Source organism: Homo sapiens, chromosome 2, assembly GCF_000001405.40.
Source record: "Homo sapiens chromosome 2, GRCh38.p14 Primary Assembly".
Lineage (NCBI taxonomy): Eukaryota > Metazoa > Chordata > Mammalia > Primates > Hominidae > Homo > Homo sapiens.
Genome location: NC_000002.12, coordinates 32,128,548 through 32,147,039, shown reverse-complemented (window position 1 = coordinate 32,147,039; position 18,492 = coordinate 32,128,548). Strand labels below are relative to the sequence as shown.

Below are 18,492 nucleotides of genomic sequence, written 5' to 3'. Positions count from 1 at the left end.
ATATTCCTTCTTTGGAATAACTGGAAAGTGTTCAATTTCTTGCATACTGCCCAAAAACAATAGTTCACAAATTTGAAAGGGAACTTAAAAGAATGCAACTTGTTCTTTACAAAATGCATTAGTCTTTTTTTGTTTTTACTCTGCACTTTATGTATTTACTTTTTTTTTTTTTTTTTTTTTTTTTTTTTGAGACAGAGTCTTGCTCTGTTGCCCAGGCTGCAGTGCTCGGCTTACTGCAACCTCACCTCCCAGGTTCAAGCGATACTCCTGCCTCAGCCTCCTGAGTAGCTGGGATTACAGGTGCGCACAACCACGCCTGGCTAATTTTTGTATTTTCAGTAGAGATGCGGTTTCACCATATTGGCCAAGCTGGTCTCGAACTCCTGACCTCATGATCCACCCATCTTGGCCTCCCAAAGTGCTGGGATTACAGGCGTGAGCCACCGTGCCTGGCCTATTTATTTACTTTTTAAGACAGCACCTCACTATGTCACCCACCCAGGCTGGAGTGCAGTGAGTGGCATGACCATGGCTCACTGCTGCCTGCACCTTCCAGGCTCAAGTGATCCTCCTACTTCAGACTCCCGAGTAGCTGGGATTACAGGCTCATGCCAACGGGCCTGGTTAATTTATTATATTTTTTTGTAGAGACAGGATCTCCCTATGTTGCCCAGTCTAGTCTCAAACTATTAGGCCCACACGATCCTCCCACCTTGGCCTCCCAAAGTGCTGGGATTATAGGTGTGAGCCACTGCACCCGGCCATTTTCTGTACTTTAATGGATGCGAATCTTTTTTTAAACCCAAATTTTGTCTACCTTAGAATAGCCAAAACGTTCTAAGAAAATACAACTCATTTATGCATTAGCTACTGTTTCTAAATCCACTAACTGAACAAGATTTAAGCTCCAGCAGCAAGAAAATTTGTTCATCCAGAGTTTCAAAATATACTCTCAAGATTACATTTTTTATTTTGCAAAGTAGCAGTTCTTAATCAGCACCCTATTTCACTACGGGAGGTGTTACTGGTAATTTTTAACTAGTAAAACAAAAAGGTTTGTATAATGTAGGCTTTTAATGCAAATTACAGTAGACACTATGATAACATCTTTCTCGTACAACTACATTCAATTGTACTTTCTTGAATGAGAGAAAGGGATGGAGCTATTATGATTACTTTATCATCATAGCTAATAATCTGAGTGCATACCTGAGAGCATCAACCATCCACTACCGATGCTGGCTGTGGAAATGTAGCTGAAAATATCTGTGTGAGTTTATCCTAACCTAACCTAAAAAGAATTGGTCGTGGTATTTCAGAATCAACCAAGTAACCTGAATAAAAACATAGCAATAAATATTTTGCTGCAATCCCTCAAAAGATATAATTAAAAAAGTGAAAACTTCTCTTATAGAATTTCCTTTAGACACATTAATTTCAAATGATGTCAGAATACTGAAAAGAGCCAGAAAACAGATAAGAACATTTTCCTTACATTATTCTTTTTTGTTTAAAGTTTTCTTTTTGAGTTTTCTGCTGCTTACTTACTATCAAGAAATGAAACCTCTTGCCTAGAACAGGGGTCACAGTCTACTGGCTCATAGACTGTTTTTGTATGATCTGTGAGCTAAGAATGGTTTTAAGGCTGGGCATGGTGGCTCATGCCTGTAATCCCAGCACTTTGGGAGGCCAAGGCAGGCTGCTCACTTGAGCCCGGGAGTTCAAGACCAGCTTGGGCAACATGGTGAAACCCTGTCTCTACAAGAAATAAAATAAAATAATTATCTGGGCATGATGGTGCATGCCTGTAGTCCCAGCTACTGGGAAGGCTGGGTGGGAGAATCACCTGAGCCTGGGGGGTTCGAGGCTGCAGTGAACTATGATTGTGCCACTGCACTACAGCCTGGGCAACAGAGTGAGACCCTGTCTCCAAAAGAAAAAAAAAATCTCTTGGTAGATTTTTTTGGACTTCTTAAACTTCTAAGGTGGTATAATAAATAGTTCTAAATGTTTTAAGCTCTTGTATACCTACCTCGGATAGGACCCAGTGCTGCATCTTTTGCCAAAGCTGTTAGGTCACTTCCTGAGTATCCATCAGTCATTCTGAGGAAGGGAAGGAAGAAACAGCAAATTATTTCCCCTCCCGCTTTTTTTTGAGATGGAGTTTTGCTCTTGTTGCCCAGGCTGGAGTGCAATGGCATGATCTCAGCTCACTGTGATCTCCACCTCCTGGAGCGATTCTCCTACCTCAGCCTCTCAGGTAGCTGGGATTATAGGCATGCGCCACCGCACCTGGCTAATTTTTTTTTTGTATTTAGTATAGATGGCGTTTCGCCATGTTGGTCAGGCTGGTCTCGAACTCCTGACCTCAGGTGATCCACCCGCCACAGCCTCCCAAAGTAGTGAGATTACAGGCATGAGCCACCGCACCCAGCTGAAACAGCAAATTATTTTCATCTCTGCAGATTTAAAATCTCCATATAATAAGAGTAAAAACTAGTTTCCCTTTGTCAGCAAACCCATAGTTATGAGGGTTTGATTTTAAGGGAATAGAAAGGCCCATTTGCTGAAAACAAATGTAGTAATGCCTCAAATTTTAATCATTAGAACCATTCCTTTAGATTAAGGCATACTATCTCCAGAGGCTTCATTAAATTGTAAACATGTCACCTGGAAAGGTAACATCTACAAACTACTGGTGGCCAACTGACACATAAACACAATTACTTCTCTAATTAGCGTTTATCTTGGCAAAGAACACTCTCTTGATGGGATAAGGGACAATCAATGTACATTTTTTTAAATAAGGGGATAGACAGAAAGGTCTGGAGTAGAAGAGACTTCCAAGTAATTTGTTCTTTTGTCATAGGTATCTGGGAACTCAGAGTTCTTGTTAAAATTATTCAATACTCACATACTCATTGAATACTTTATATTACTTTATGACATTTTTCAGGGAATAAAATTCATGAGCGCATCTCCTATACTCAGTTTCTACTTCACACTGTTCATAAAGTTTAAGATTATTCAAATAGCTGAAATTAAAATTATTAAAATTATCAAATAATTAAAATTATTAAAAGAGCTGAAAAGTATTCAGCATATGCCAAGAACAAGTTTATATAAAAATATCTGTGTTAGTGTGCAATATGAAATGTTTAAAATTTTTTTTGAGACAGGGTCTCACTCTGTTGCTCAACCTCCACCTCCCGGGCTGAAGCGATCCTCCCACATCAACCTCCCAAGTAGCTGGGACTACAGGTATGTGCCACCATTCCTGACTCATTTTATTTTTTGTAGAGATGGGGTTTTACCATGTTGCCTAAGGTGTAAATGTTTAAATTACTTTAATACCACTTACAGGTTTTAATAAATTTATAAAAAGAATATACTATCATCATTAGATCACGTCTTGCAAAGGACATAGCCAGTGAAATTTAGATTCCACATATATATATAAGAACAAGAGGTAAGAAAAAGGCAAAGGAGGTAGAGGATGAGAGAAAGTCTTCTGATCAATGAATTACTCATTTCATACTTAAGATTACTTTAAATAACTAAAAAAAGAATTATTTACAAAAAATAAATAAAAGCTGTAAGATAAACCAAATCCAAATTACTCACCTAGCAAGTTGTGCTAGTTCTTTTTGGGTCAATGGACTTCCTTGTTTACATAACAGATTTTTAAGCAAAAGTAGTCTTGTCTGAAAAATATTAAAAAATGATCATTCAGTCTAATTTCAGAATTAATGATTCTTTTCTTTTTTTATATTGAGACAGGGTCTTGTGCTGTTACCCAGGCTGGAGTGCAGGGCACAATCATAGCTCACTATAGCCTCGATATCCTGGGTTCAAGCAATCCTCCCATCTCAGCCTCCCGAGTAACTGGGACCAAAGGCACGTGCCACCATGCCTGGTTAATTTCTAAAAAAGTTTTTGTAGAGACAGGGTCTCCCTATGTTGCCCAGGCTGGTCTTGAATTCCTGGCTCAAGCGATCCTCCCACCTCAGCCTCCCAAAGTGTTGGGATTATAGGCGTGAGACACCACACCTGGATAAAAACATAGCAATAATTCACCACACTTGAATAAAAACATAGCAATAAATATTTTGCTGCAAAAAACCAGTTTTATAGAGGTATGAATTCATCTACTATGAATTTCACCCATTGTAAGTATATAATTCAATGAGTTTTAATACATTTATAGATGTGCAATCATCACCACAATCCAGTTTTAGAACACTTTTTAGTTCACTCATACCTGTTTGCAGTTAATCCTCATTCCCAACTCTCACCCTGACAACCCACTGATCTGCTTTACGTTTCTAGAAATTTTCGATTTCTGGCCGGGCACGGTGACTCATGCCTGTAATCCCAGCACTTTGGGAGGCTGAGGAGGGCGGATCACACCATCCTGGCTAACACAGTGAAACCCGTCTCTACTAAAAACACAAAAAATTAGCCAGGCCTGGTGGCACATGCCTGCAGTCCCAGCTACTCAGGAGGCTGAGGCAGGAGAATCACTTGAACCCAGGAGGTGAAGGTTGCAGTGAGCCGAGATCACGCCACTGCACTCCAGCCTGAGCGACAGAGCAAGACTCCATCTCAAAAAAATAAATAAATAAAAAATAAATTTGCGTTTTCTGCATATAAACAGAATCCTATGATATGCGACATATATCATCTTGCTTCTTTCACTTATAATGTTTTGGAGTTTCATTCATAAAACTTAATATATGAAGTGAGTATGCAGCATGTATAATGGATAACAGTATCCATTAAATGAATATACCACATTTGTTTATTCACCAAAATAAACATTTTAGATCATTTGTAGTTCTGGCTATTATTAATATTGCTGCTATAAAAATTCTTGTACAAGTCTTTGTGTGGACATACATTTTTGTTTCTCTGGGGTAAATTCTTAGGAGTGAAATTGCTGGCTCTGACAGTAAGCTTATGTACATCTTTTTAAGAAACCACTAAACTGTTTTCCAAAGTAGCTGTACCATGGATTGGAAGACTTAATATTGTCAAGATGGTAGTTCTTGTTTCTGCTCTAAAACAAAAAAAATTCAAACACAGATACATACCTCCTCATTTGGTAAAGACACATATACCCGTTTGATGAAACGCCTAAAAAAAAAAATCCAGCACTTTTAGAAATATAATTTTGAATTTAAAGCTGAAACAGCAAATGACAGGAAAAGCTTTTAAAATATAATATTCAAGGCACTGGAATGCATTTTGGTAGTTATCAATGTAAAAATATTTTTGTTACTCTTTTAAAACTCTAGTTAATGTTTAAAATCCTTAATTCGGTATTGTTAGAATTAATCATTTATGTATGTATATGTTTTTAATAGCAGTAATGCTTTAAAACAAACAAAATATCTGATATAAGTAGATCTGTCTTCTTGAATCTGAAAAAAACTAAAATCAGCAAGGATAATAGAAACAGAAACATACACTTCATCAACAAACTAGGTAACATTTATGGAACTAAAATACATAAAGGTGAACTGCCTAGGGCAGTGAAAATTACACTGACAAAGGAAGACACACAAAGGATCTGCCGCTAAAGATCATGGACATGACTGTCAGAGTACAGTTTTCCTCCCAAAAAGAGATAGCACACCCTAAAGGGTAATAAGGCCAGTCCCTCCACATTTAAACAAGCATATGAAGCCTGGCTCTGCAGACCATATAAACCCTAATTGATAGCATAGGAATGGCAAGGAAGGTGAGAATGAACAAAGAAACTCTAAGACGAATTATCTTTATAAGAAGGCATCTAACAGTCTGGCGGGAAGACAATGTCTTGCAGTGACCAATATTTTTTAGTAGAAGAATAAATCAACCCTATCTCTTATTTACATACACATATACTTCATTATTAGGTAGGGCTTCACTGTAAGTGAGGGAGGCTGCATGCTAGTTTAGTGTATACATGGACTACTCAAGATACCTATCCCTTCCCCTACAATATCCTTCCAAAACTAGGTTTTCCAAGAAAACTCCTTTTATTCAAAGAAAAATAATAAGCAAAAAAGGAAAAACCAGGACAGGGCTCATTTAAAAAAAAAAAAAAAAAAACAACAACAACAAAACCTGCCCCCAAAAAAGAGCAAACAAAACACAATAAACATAAACTAGATAAAATGAAGAACATGCATGAGAAGATTTTGCCATAGAGCAAACTAAAATTATGACCAAGTATCTTTCCACGAAATAAAATAATTTAATTTTTTAAAAATTTAATTTTTTTTATCCTTAAGTTTTTTTTATAGATATGGGGTTTTGCCACGTTGGCGAGGCTGGTCTGGAATTCCCGGCCTCAAGTGATCTGGCCTCCCAAAGTGCTGGGATTACAGGTGTGACCCACCATGACGCCTGACCAAAAAATTTTTTCTTTTTTTTTTTGAGACAGAGCCTTGCTCTGTCCCCCAGGCTAGAGTACAGTGCCGCCGTCTTGGCTCACTGCAACCTCTGCCTCCTGGGTTCAAGCGATTATCAGCCTCCTGAGTAGCTGGGATTACAGGTGTGTGTGACCACACCCAGCTAATTTTTTGTATTTTTAGCAGAGACAGGGTTGTACTATGTTGGCCAGGCTGGTCTCAAACTCCTGGCCTCAAGTGGTCTGTCCTTGCCAAAAAATTGTTTTCTATGAAACAAGAGCCCAGTGAAATGTAAGAGCTTATGGAAATAACATACAGATGCTCAAAGAAATAAAACAGAAGATGAAAAGTAGAATAACAGATGTCAGGAAAGTAATGAATAAAAAACCACCAAGGAAAGAAGAGTTACAAAAGATATAGCAGAAAGGAGATTAGATACTAACCCAGTAAGAAATAAAGGCAACAGGCTTGGGAAAACAGAACAAAACAAAAAGACCTAAGAGTTTAAAAGGATGAAGAAGAAAATTACAGATAGGGAAAACAAAAGGACGCAACATAACACATAATTTATGTGCAAAAGAAAACAGAAAAATGAACTAGGGAAAAAAATTAAGATAAATTTCCCATTTTAACGATATTGATTCTTCCAATCCATGAGCATGGAGTGTTTTTCCATTTATTTGTGTCACCTCTGATTTATTTTAGCAGTGCTTTACACTTCTCCTCATACAGATTCTTTCACCTCCTTCATCAGCCGTATTCCTAGGTACTCCATTGTCTTTTTTTTTTTCTTTTTTTTTTTTTAATTTTGGAAACGGATTCTTGCTCTTTCACACCCAGGCTGCAGTGCAGTGGCACGATCTCGGCTCACTGCAACCTATGCCTCCTGGGTTCAAGCAATTCTCCTGCCTCAGCCTCCCGAGCAGATGGGATTACAGGCGCCCACCACCACGCCTGGCTAATTTTTTGTATTTTTAGTAGAGACGGGGTTTCACCATGTTGGTCAGGCTGGTCTCGAACTCCTGACCTCAGGTGATCCACCTGCCTCAGCCTCCCAAAGTGCTGGGATTACAGGCATGAGCCACTGTGCCCAGCCATTATTTCATTTTCTTTGTGGCTATTGTAAATGGGACTGTGTTCTTGATTTGACTCTTAGCCTGGACATTATTAGCGTATAGAAATGGTACTAATTTTTTGTACACTGATTTTGTATCCTGAATCTTGGGGTAAAATCATTTATCAGTTCTAGTAGCCTTTTGACGGAATTTTTAGGGTTTTCAAAGTATAGAATCATATTGCCAGTGAAGAGTGAGAGTATGATGACTTCTTTTCCTATTTGGATGCCTTTTGTTTCCTTCTCTTGCCTGATTTATCTGGTCGTAAAATGACTATACTGCCCAAAGCAATTTACAGATTCAATGGTATTTCTATCAAACTATCAATGTTGTTTTTCACAAAATTAGAAAAAAATATTCTAAAATTCATATGGAAGCAAAAAAAGAGTCCAAATAGACAAAGCAATCCTAAGCAAAAAGAACAAAGCTGTAAGTATCACGTTACCTGACTTTAAACCGAACTACACAGCAGCCCAAACAGCATAATTCTGGTATAAAAACAGACACACAAACCAAAGGAACAGGACAGAAAATTGAGAAATAAAGCCACACACCTATAACCATCTGATCTTTGATAAGACTGACAAAAACAAGCAATGAGGAAAAGGACTCCCTATTCAATAAATGGCATGGGGATTACTGGCTAGCCATATGTAGAAAAATGAAACTGGACCCTTACTTTTCACCATATACAAAAATTAACTCAAGGTGGATTAAAGATTTAAATGTAAGATCTCAAAGTATAAAAATGCTAGAAGAAAACTAGGAAATACACTTCTTGACATCAGCCTCAGAAAGAAATTTTGGCTAAGTCCCCAAACACAATTGCAACAAAAATAAAAATTGACAAGTGGGACCTAATTAAACTAAAGAGCTTCTGCACAGCAAAAAGAACCATCAACAGAGTAAACAGACAATCTACAGAACTGCATCTAACAATGGTCTGATATCCAGAATCTATAAGGAATTCAAACAATTGAACAAGCTAAAAACACACAACCCTATTAAAAAATGGGTAAAAAGGAAATGAATAGACACTTCTCAAAAGACATACGAGGGGACAACAAACATGAAAAAATGCTCATCATCACTAACCATCAGAAAAATGCAAATCAAAATCACAATGAGATATCTCACACCAGTCAGAATGGCTATTAATAAAATGGCAAAAAAAATCCCATATTGTCTACAGATTGGCGGGAAAAAGTAAAAAAATAACAGATGTTGGTGAGGTTGTGGAGCGTATGTACTGCTGGTAGGAATGTAAAGTTCAGTCATTGTAGAAAGCAGTTTGAAGATTTCTCAAAAAACATAAAACAAATCTACCTTTGACCCTGAAATCCCATTACTGGGTATATACCCAAAGGAAAATAGATCATTATACCAAAAAGACATGCATTTCATGTTTATTGCTGTACTATTCATGACAGCAGACATAGAATCAATCTAAGTGTCCATCAATGGTGGACTGGATAAAGAAAATGTGGTACGTACACACCATGGAATACTATGTACTACGCAGCCATAAAAAAGAATGAAATAATGTCCTTTGCAGCAACATGGATGGAGGTGGAGGCCTTAATACTACGCCAATTAATGTGGGAACAGTAAACCAAATAGCTCATGTTCTCATAAGTGGGGAGCTAAAAATTGAGTACACATGGACATAAACATGGGAACAATACACACTGCGGACTACTACATGGGGGAAGAAAGCAGTGAGGTGTGGGTTGAAAAACTACCTACTGCACCCTATGCTCACTACCTGGGTGCAATATACCCACGTAACCCATCCAGTAAAGAGAGAAAAAAATCAAGTTATTTTACAAATTTGAAAAAATCAATTTGGATTCAGACTTTTACACTACTACAGCCAATCTAGAAACAATGGAGCAATATTGTAAATTCCTTGGGAAAGGATGCCCAAGAATTTTATGCTGACCCAAACCGTCCTTCCAGTATGAAGGGAATAAACTGCTCAAACACACAAGAACAGAAAACACATTTTCCATGAACCCTGATTTGATTATTTTCTCATGAAGCCCAATAAAAGACGGTAAGAATCAATTTTCAAGTTTAAAGATAATTTAATGCAACCCAGAAGAACTGACCAATTTGCCTAAAACCGTAACTAAACCTTTACTAGACTAATTCTCCTGATATCAAGCTGTTGACCTCAAAATCCTTATGTAGTTGGTAACAAGAGGCTAGAGATAGTACTGGAAGAAAATAGTGAATTTAGTCTTAAAACTGAGAGTAAGGAAATAATATGTAAGATGGACACATGAGTAAATATTGTCTGTAATAAATGCATGTATTTCCATATAAATCTCCCTACCTGAGAACAGCCTCATCAAGCTCTTGTGGCCTATTAGTTGCACCCATTACAAGTACTCTGTCATCTCCAGCAGACTGTACCTACAAGCAAAAAATCTTTTTTCAATTCATTTAGAAAAGTAATAACAAATATAAAGATATTTGTATTTTTAACCTTGGCCATTTAATAGGAAAATATACTAAAATGCTGCCACATTAAAAATATCATAATCAACACTTACACCATCAAATTCTATTAGAAATTCAGTTTTTAGGCGTCTACTAGCATCGTGCTCCCCTTCTCTTCTTTCACACAAAAGGCTATCAACTTCATCTAGAGGAAATACAAGTATAAGACTTTAATTAAAGACCAAGCTATGTGAGTCATCTGAGATTAATCTAGTTTACTACTTATTAATATAGTGGGTCCTACTAAATTCATTAGATAGTCTTTAAGCTTGCCCTTCTTTAAAACTTCTTCCTTCTGAATAATGTTTCCAATCGTATCTTTCCTATTTGGAGAGGGAAATTTCACAAATAGTCAATAACTTAGTTGGAAAATATGTTCTTACCTATAAAAATTATAGAAGGTTGAAGTTCTCGAGCCACAGCAAAAAGAGCCCTCACCAATTTCTCTCCTTCTCCCACCTAAAACAAAGCATTATACTGTTATACACATAAAATGCAACATTATTCCAGTTTTTTAAATTTTATGTTGAAAATCTAGCACACAGGAATTTAATTTCCCTTCCTTAAAACAACCAAAGATTTGGTTTGAGAAAGGGGAGAGTACTACTAACCGTCCCTTACAATTTTAGACAACAGACTGTGATTTCATACAGCCTGGTTAAGTGCTTTAAAAATTCATCTGTTTTGCTTCACCCTGCATTCCTAAGACTTGAGAATGAAATAGCTCTTCAGTCAAGGATATAACTAGTGAGAAAAGGGGAAGACTAGGGGAGAGAAAAAGACATTGTACATATTCTTTAAGCCCTAGATTACACGGTATATTTATAGAAGCAAGTAAGTTGGAATGTGCTCTCCTAAACAAAACTTGCGCTATTAAGAACACCGTGAAAAGTCATTCTCACATAAATATCAAAATTTCTTTTTTTTTTTTCCTTTTTTTTTTTGAGACAGAGTTTTGCTCTATAGCCCAGTCTGGAGTGCAGTGGTGCAATCTCGGCTCACTGTGACTTTTGCCTCCTGGGTTCAAGTGATTCTCATCCCTCAACATCCCAGGTAGCTGGGATTACAGGCGCCCACCACCACGCCTGGCTAATTTTTGTATTTTTAGTAAAGATGGGGTTTTACCATATTGGTAAATTCATTAGATAGTCTTTAAGCCTGCCCTTCTTTAAAACTTCTTCCTTCTGAATAATGTTTCCAATCCTATCTTTCCTATTTGGAGAGGGAAATTTCACAAATAGTCAACTAACTTAGTTGGCCAGGCTGATCTCAAACTCCTGACCTCAAGTGATCCACCTAACTTGGCCTCCCGAGGTGCTGGAATTACAGGCATGAGCCACCGCGCCCAGCCAATAAATATCAAAATATTTCCAGATAGTCCAGAAGGTCAATGAACACCCCTTGAGACATTCCCAGGTGCTGACACCATACAAAGGCCATTTTATACACCAAAGTAATGAGTCATGAGGTCTGTGATAATCTACTGTAAAAATTTTTCTGTCCTCTAGGTGGCATTTATTCTTTTTACTGAAGATTTAACTTAAAAACAAAAGAAATGTCACCAGATTTAGAATAATCGAAACAAATATTCTAGGCCGGGCGCGGCGGCTCAGACCTGTAATCCCAGCACTTTGGGAGGCTGAGGCGGGCGGATCACGAGGTCAGGAGATCGAGACCATCCTGGCTAACACGGTGAAACCTCGTCTCTACTAAAAATACAAAAAATTAGCCAGGCGTGGTGGCAGGCGCCTGTAGTCCCAGCTACTCGGGAGGCTGAGGCAGGAGAATGGCGTGAACCCAGGAGGTGGAGCTTGCAGTGAGCCGAGATGGTACCACTGCACTCCAGCCCGGGCGACAGAGCAAGACTCCATCTCACACACACACACACACACACACACACACAAAATTATCAGAGCTGAAAGAAATCTCAAAAGATCATCTCCTATGACATTAACATTTTACAGATGAAACAGGCCTAAAGTTATACTTTCTTAAGGTCAGTTCAGGATGTAAAAGTTACGCTAGAGGCCGGGTGCGGTGGCTCATGCCTGTAATCCCAGCACTTTGGGAGGCCAAGGTGGGTGGATCACCTGAGGTCGGGAGTTCAAGACCAGCCTGGCCAACATGGTGAAACCCTGTGTCTACTAAAACTACAAAAATTAGCCGGGCGTGGTGGCGCATGCCTGTAATCCCAGCTACTCGGGAGGCTGACGTGGGAGAATTGCTTGAACCTGAGAGTTGGAGGTTGCAGTGAGCCGAGATCGCACAACTGCACTTCGGCCTGGGGCGAAAAAGTGAGACCTTGTCCCAAAAAAATAAAAAGCTAGGCTAGAATCCCTATCTCCTAACTTCCACAACAATACTTTCCATTATACCATGTGCATAATGTGGGTAAACATGCTTTAATAACAACTTGAAGACCAGGCACAGTGACTCATGCCTGTGATCCTAGCACTTTGGGAGGCCGAAATGGGAGGATCACTTGAGCCCAGAAGTTTGAGACCAGCCCTGGCAACACAGTGACACCTTGTCACTACAAAAAAAAATTTTTTTTTTTTGAGATGGAGTCTCGGCTCACTGCAATCTCTGCCTCCCAGGTTCAAGCAACTCTCCTGCCTCAGCCTCCTGAGTAAGTGGGATTACAGGCGCCTGCCACCACACCCCGCTAATTTTTTGTATTTTTAGTAGAGACAGGGTTTCACCATGTTAGCCAGGCTGGTCTCGAACTCCTGACCTTGTGATTCGCCTGCCTCGGCCTCCCAAAGTGCTGGGATTACAGGTGTGAGCCACCGCATTCGGCCCCCCAGAATTTTTTAAAATTAGCTGGGCATGGTGGCATGTGCCTATAGTCCCAGCTACTTGGGATGCTAAGGTGGGAGGATCACTTGAGCCCAGGAGGCTGAGGCTGCAGTGAGCCATGATCACGCCACTGTACTCCAGCCTGGGCGACAGAACAGACCCTGTCTTAAAAAATAAATCAATAAATAAATAGAGTAACGACTTGTAAAATTTCACATAGGAAGTAAAATGTGATCAGAAAAACAGGTACTATTTTATAGTTACTTTTAACTACTTTAGAATATTGAGAACATTTTAAGTACTATGATTTATTAAAATATTTAAAGAAACTTACAGAAGATTTTACTTAGCACAGATAATACAAGAGAAATATTACTGTCCACATGGAGACCATCTTCTAGTGGAGGTGACAGTTAATATTATTAACTTCTCTGATTTTTTTTTCCCTAGTATTTAAATCTAGCAGCATACTGATGTATTGAAGACCAAACTTTACATTTTGAAGACGGTGTGGAAAAAACACTGTAAACTGGTAAGAACTATGTGAATGTTCGTTTTTTTTTTTTTAATAATAGATAAGCAGGTTAACTGTTCGAACATATAAGAAAAATATAAAAATTAAATCTGTGTAAAAAAGCACAACTACAACTACTTGCAACAATCTGGATAAATCTCACAAATACAATGCTGATGAAAGAAGCCAAATACACATACACACAAAATCCTACATCATTAGATTTATATAAAGTTCAAAGGCATGCTAGCTTTGTCTATGATGTTAGTAGTCTAGTGGTTTTGAGGGAGAGGAGTGAGTGGATAAAGATGGTGGAGTGCCTGGAGGGATTTTAGGGCCACAGGTAACAATTTATTTCTTGACCTGGGTGGTGATTATGAAAGTATATTCGCTTTGTGGTAATCCACTGAGCTGTATACAGCTGTATACTTATGCTATAAATACTTTTCTACATGTTAGTTATTCAATAAACAAGGTTAAACAATAATACAACATGTTAAGATACATATGTAACTGATTTTTTGTGGAAAATAATCTAGATATTTTAATAACACAAATGTTGTCCATGACTATGATGCAGTTCCTCCCAAAAGCTTTCTCAGGATAGATCATGAGACACAACATCTACATAATATTACACAATGCTGCTGCTTTTTTTTTTTGAGATGGAGTTTCACTTTTGTTGCCCAGGCTGGAGTGGAATGGCGCAATCTCGGCTCACCGCAACCTCCGCCTCCTGGGCTCAAGTGATTCTCCTGCCTCAGCCTCCCGAGTAGCTGGGATTACAGGCATGTGCCACAATGCCCAGCTCATCTTTTGTATTTTTAGTAGAGATTTAGTATTTAGTATTTAGTAGAGATTTGTATTTAGTAGAGAAACATGGGGTTTCTCCATGTTAATCAGGCTGGTCTCAAACTCCTGACCTGCCCACCTCGGCCTCCCAAAGTGCTGGGATCACAGGTGTGAGCCACTGCGCCTGGCACAATGCTTCCTTTTTAAGTCTTCAAAGTCAGGTCACATCTGAGGTAAAATATTCAGTTCTTATCTAGGCATACTGACAAACTGGCATGAGACCATAGAAAGACAACTAAAATAGTAACTATTCTGGGGACTGGAGGGAAGCAGATATAACATTAAGTTCCTATATATTTGAAAGGCTGTCTCATAAAAAAAAAAAAAGATTGAGTTTTGTTAAATCAAGTATGTAAAAATTAGAAAAAGCAGATTTCAGTTAGACATAAGGAAAAAATTGTATTAGATAGAACTGACAAAATGATAGACTAGACATTTCAATTTTCTTTTTCTTTTCTTTTTTTGAGATGGGATCTCACTCTGCCACCCAGGCTGGAGTACAGTGGCATGATCTCTCGGCTCACAGCAAACTCCACCTCCCAAGCTCAAGAAATCCTCCCACTTCAGTCTCCCAAGTGGCTGGGACCACAGGCACACGCCACCACGCCCGACTAATTTTTTGTATTTCTGGTAGAGACAGGGTTTCGCCATGTTGCCCAGCCTGGTCTTGAACTCCTGAGCTCAAGTGATCCACCTGCCTTGGCCTCCCAAAGTGCTGGGATTACAGGCATGAGCCACCACACCTAGCCTCAACTTTCTTAAAAGTAAACTTACTTCAAGATATTCAGGCAGTATCAGAATTGGGGGTTAAGATCATGAATGCTATGTTGTTTCTGAAAACATGAAGATGAAACAGTACTCTTGAAAAAAGTATGGATAAAAGAGAATGGTTGCTGTAGGCCGGGTGTGGTGGCTTACGCCTATAATCCAGCACTTTGGGAGGTAGATGCGGGCGGATCACAAGGTCAGGAGATCGAGACCATCCTGGCCAACATGGTGAAACCCCGTCTCTACTAAAATACAAAAATTAGCCAAGTGTCGTGGCGGGTGCCTGTAGTCCCAGCTACTCAGCAGGCTAAGGCAGGGGGATCACTTGAACCCGGGAGGCAGAGGCTGCAGTGAGCCGAGATCACGCCACTGCACTCCAGAGCAAGACTCCATCTCAAAAAAAAAAAAAAAAAAAAAGAGAATGGTTGCTGTAATATTTTTAATGAAAGGCCACACTCACTGGAGCTCAAATCCTAGTTTCCCACTTCCTGGTTATGAGATCCTGAGCAGATCACTGAATTCTGTAATTCCCTAATTAATAAAATAGAGCTATGAGAATAATATCTATACCTCATTATGATTACTCCACAAATATTTATTCAATACCTACTCACAGCCAACTACTGAAAATTGAAGTGAAGAACACATGGTGATAGTCTCTGCCCGCATGGAGACCATCTTCTAGTGGAGGTGACAGTGATATCAGATACAATTAAAATAATCCTATCAATGAATATGAATTGCAACTCCAGTGAGTATGAAAATGAGGTGCAAGTGGTGCTAGGAGAATAATAACGGGGAATAGTTTGGAGGGTCAGGGAAGGTTGTAACATTTCAACTGGTATCTGAAGAATAAGTACAAATTAACCAGGAGAAGATAGTGTTCCTGAGAAAGGAAACTCCATGAAGAGGAATCCCATGACAGGAAAAAGCATAATAATATTTGAAGAACTGCCTAAGGAAGAGGGAGTCTTAGCAAACAGACTTCAAAAACTATGGGTCCAACACCAAGGCTATCTCTATCATAGTGATGGAGGCTACTTTAGTCCAATGCCATAACAACTATGGTCAACATGTCAAGTTTGCTTTAACTCACTGCTCATTATACAACCTTACAAATAAGTTTCCCATACATGTCTATAGGTACAGGGAGAGAACATGCTGTTCATAGCAGCTAGACAATTCTGATCTCATGTCTGTTCCGAAGACATAGATCTGCTCTTGGTGTACTGATAAAATCAAGTTTCTCTCGCTGCAAAACTGTAGACAGTAAAATTATCCTTTGAGCCTCTCATGGAAAGAGGCTATCTGGATATCATGTGGTGATCACCTCTGGATTCACCTCTGGATTTTTTTTTTTTTTTTTTTTTGAGACAGAGTCTCACTCAGTTGCCCAGGCTGGAGTGCAGTGGTGCCATCTCGGCTCACTGCAACCTCTGCCTCCTGGGTTCGAGCAATTCTCGTGTCTCAGCCTCCCGAATAGCTGGGATTACAGGCGCACACCACCAAGTCTGGCTAATTTTTGTATTTTTAGTCGAGACGGGGTTTTGCAATGTTGGCCAGGCTGGTTTTGAACTCCTGACCTCAGGTGATCTGCCAGCCTTGGCTTCCCAAAGTGCTGGGATTACAGGCGTGAGCCACCACACCTGGCCTCACCTCTGGATTTCGGTGCAACAAATGCTGACACTTCAAACTTTTACAGGTAACATGTTCTTTCATCAGAGATTCACATTTCAGTTTAAGTATGTTTGCCAAAACACTTTCAACCATAAAAGTTTGTTTTGTTTTGTTTTTGAGACGTGGTCTTGCTCTGACGCCCAGGTTGGAATGCATTGGCATGATCGTGGCTCACTGCAACCTCAACCTCCTTGACTCAAGTGATCCTCCCACCTCAGCCTCCTGATTTGCTGGGACCACGTATTCGCTGGCATGTCCAGCTAAATTTTTTATTTTTTGTAGAGATGGGGGTCTCACTATGTTGCCCAGGGTGGTATTGAACTCCTGGCCTCAAGCAATCCTCCTGCCTCAGTCTCCCAAAGTACTGGGATTACAGGAGTTAGCCACCATGCCCCCCCTTGTTTTGTTTCTTTGAGACAGGGTCTCACACTGTCACTCAGGCTGGAGTGCAGTGGCATGATCACAGTTCACTGCAGCCTCAACCTCTCAGGCTCAAGAGATCCTCTCGCCTCAGCTTCCTGAGTAGCTGGGACTACAGGTGCATGCCACCACACCTGGCTCTATTTTTTATTTTTGGAAGAGATGGGGTTTCACCATGTTGCCTAGGCTGGTCTCCAACTTCTGGGCTCAGGTGATCTTCCTGCCTCAGCCTCCCAAAATGCTAGGATTATAGGCATGGGCCACTGTGCCCGGCCAATCATAAAGGTTTTGATAAAGGCAAGCAGAGACTAAGGTATCATTGGGAGGGGGAGGGGGCAACCAAGAGAAAGGGAGAGAGGGAGAAAGACAAAGCAGTGTAAGGTTTGACAGAAACTACTTCACAGTTTTGCAATGCACCAGTTATATTTACACACTAGTTCTGCACACCAGACAAATTACTCTCTTTAAGCACTGTAGTTATGCTTGCCCTACCCCAAAACTAGACTGAACACTTCTTTGAATAATACTATAGGGTCAGCAGAGGGTGAATGGAAAAAGAAAACAAAATTATAAACAATCAAAAGAAAGCAGGGAAAATCTACTGGCCAGGTGTGGTGGCTCACACTTGTAATTCCAGCACTTTGAGAGTCCGAGGCAGGAGGATTGCTTAAGCCCAGGAATTTGAAAGTAGCCTGGCAACATAGCGAGACTGTGTCTCTATTATAAAAAAAAAAAAAAAATTAAAACAGGGAAAATCTTCTGTCATATTTTAGATCAGAATCAGAAGGCCAGAAATACTCAGTTTATGCCATCAGATCTGTGTTCCTATCTGGTGGCTCCTTGAGATAAAATCCACTTTACTTGAAGCTTAAGTGGAAAGTGATAGTATTTGTTAATGGGTTGAACTGTGTTCTCCAAAAACGTGTTGAAGTCCTATCCCTAGTACCTATGAATGTGACATTATTTGGACATAGAATTGTTGCTGATGACAAACTTAAATTGAGATCATTAGGGTGGGTCCTAATCCACAGGGGAAATTTGGACATGGTGACAGACACAGGGAGAATGCCACATAAAGATAAAGACAGAGATAGGAGGGATGCATCTACAAGCCAAGGAATACAAAAGATTGCCAGCAAGCCACCAGAAGCCAGGAGAGAGGCACACAACATACATTTTCCCTCACAGCCCTCAGGAGGAAGCAACCCTGCCAACATTTTGACTGATCTTAGACTTCTACCTTCCACAACTGTGAGACAATAAATTGCTGATGTTTAAGCCAGCCAGTTTACGGTATTTTATTACATGGCCCCAGTAAACTAATACAGTATTTGACAACACAAATGTACATAACTTTCTACTCTGAAGATAGATATTCATCATATGTAAATAATAGATACAATAGATAAGCTCCTAGAAAAATATTTTCATGAAATATTACCAT

The 18,492-nt window shown here is 39.4% G+C and overlaps 1 protein-coding gene across 5 annotated transcripts in view; it reads right to left on the bottom strand.

Annotated features, from left to right (window-relative positions):
- The window catches only part of SPAST (spastin), a 94,082-nt gene that overhangs the window by 10,598 nt on the left and 64,992 nt on the right, over window positions 1–18,492 (bottom strand). For 4 of the 5 annotated variants that reach the window (NM_014946.4, NM_199436.2, NM_001363823.2 and 1 more), the window contains 6 exons: window positions 10,402–10,477; window positions 10,072–10,163; window positions 9,852–9,931; window positions 5,094–5,136; window positions 3,625–3,704; window positions 2,033–2,103 (listed from right to left, as the gene is read on the bottom strand). In NM_014946.4, the coding sequence (NP_055761.2) occupies window positions 2,033–2,103; window positions 3,625–3,704; window positions 5,094–5,136; window positions 9,852–9,931; window positions 10,072–10,163; window positions 10,402–10,477 (442 nt within the window). The remainder of the gene's footprint in view (window positions 1–2,032; window positions 2,104–3,624; window positions 3,705–5,093; window positions 5,137–9,851; window positions 9,932–10,071; window positions 10,164–10,401; window positions 10,478–18,492) is intronic. The other variant, NM_001377959.1, reaches the window with a different exon arrangement.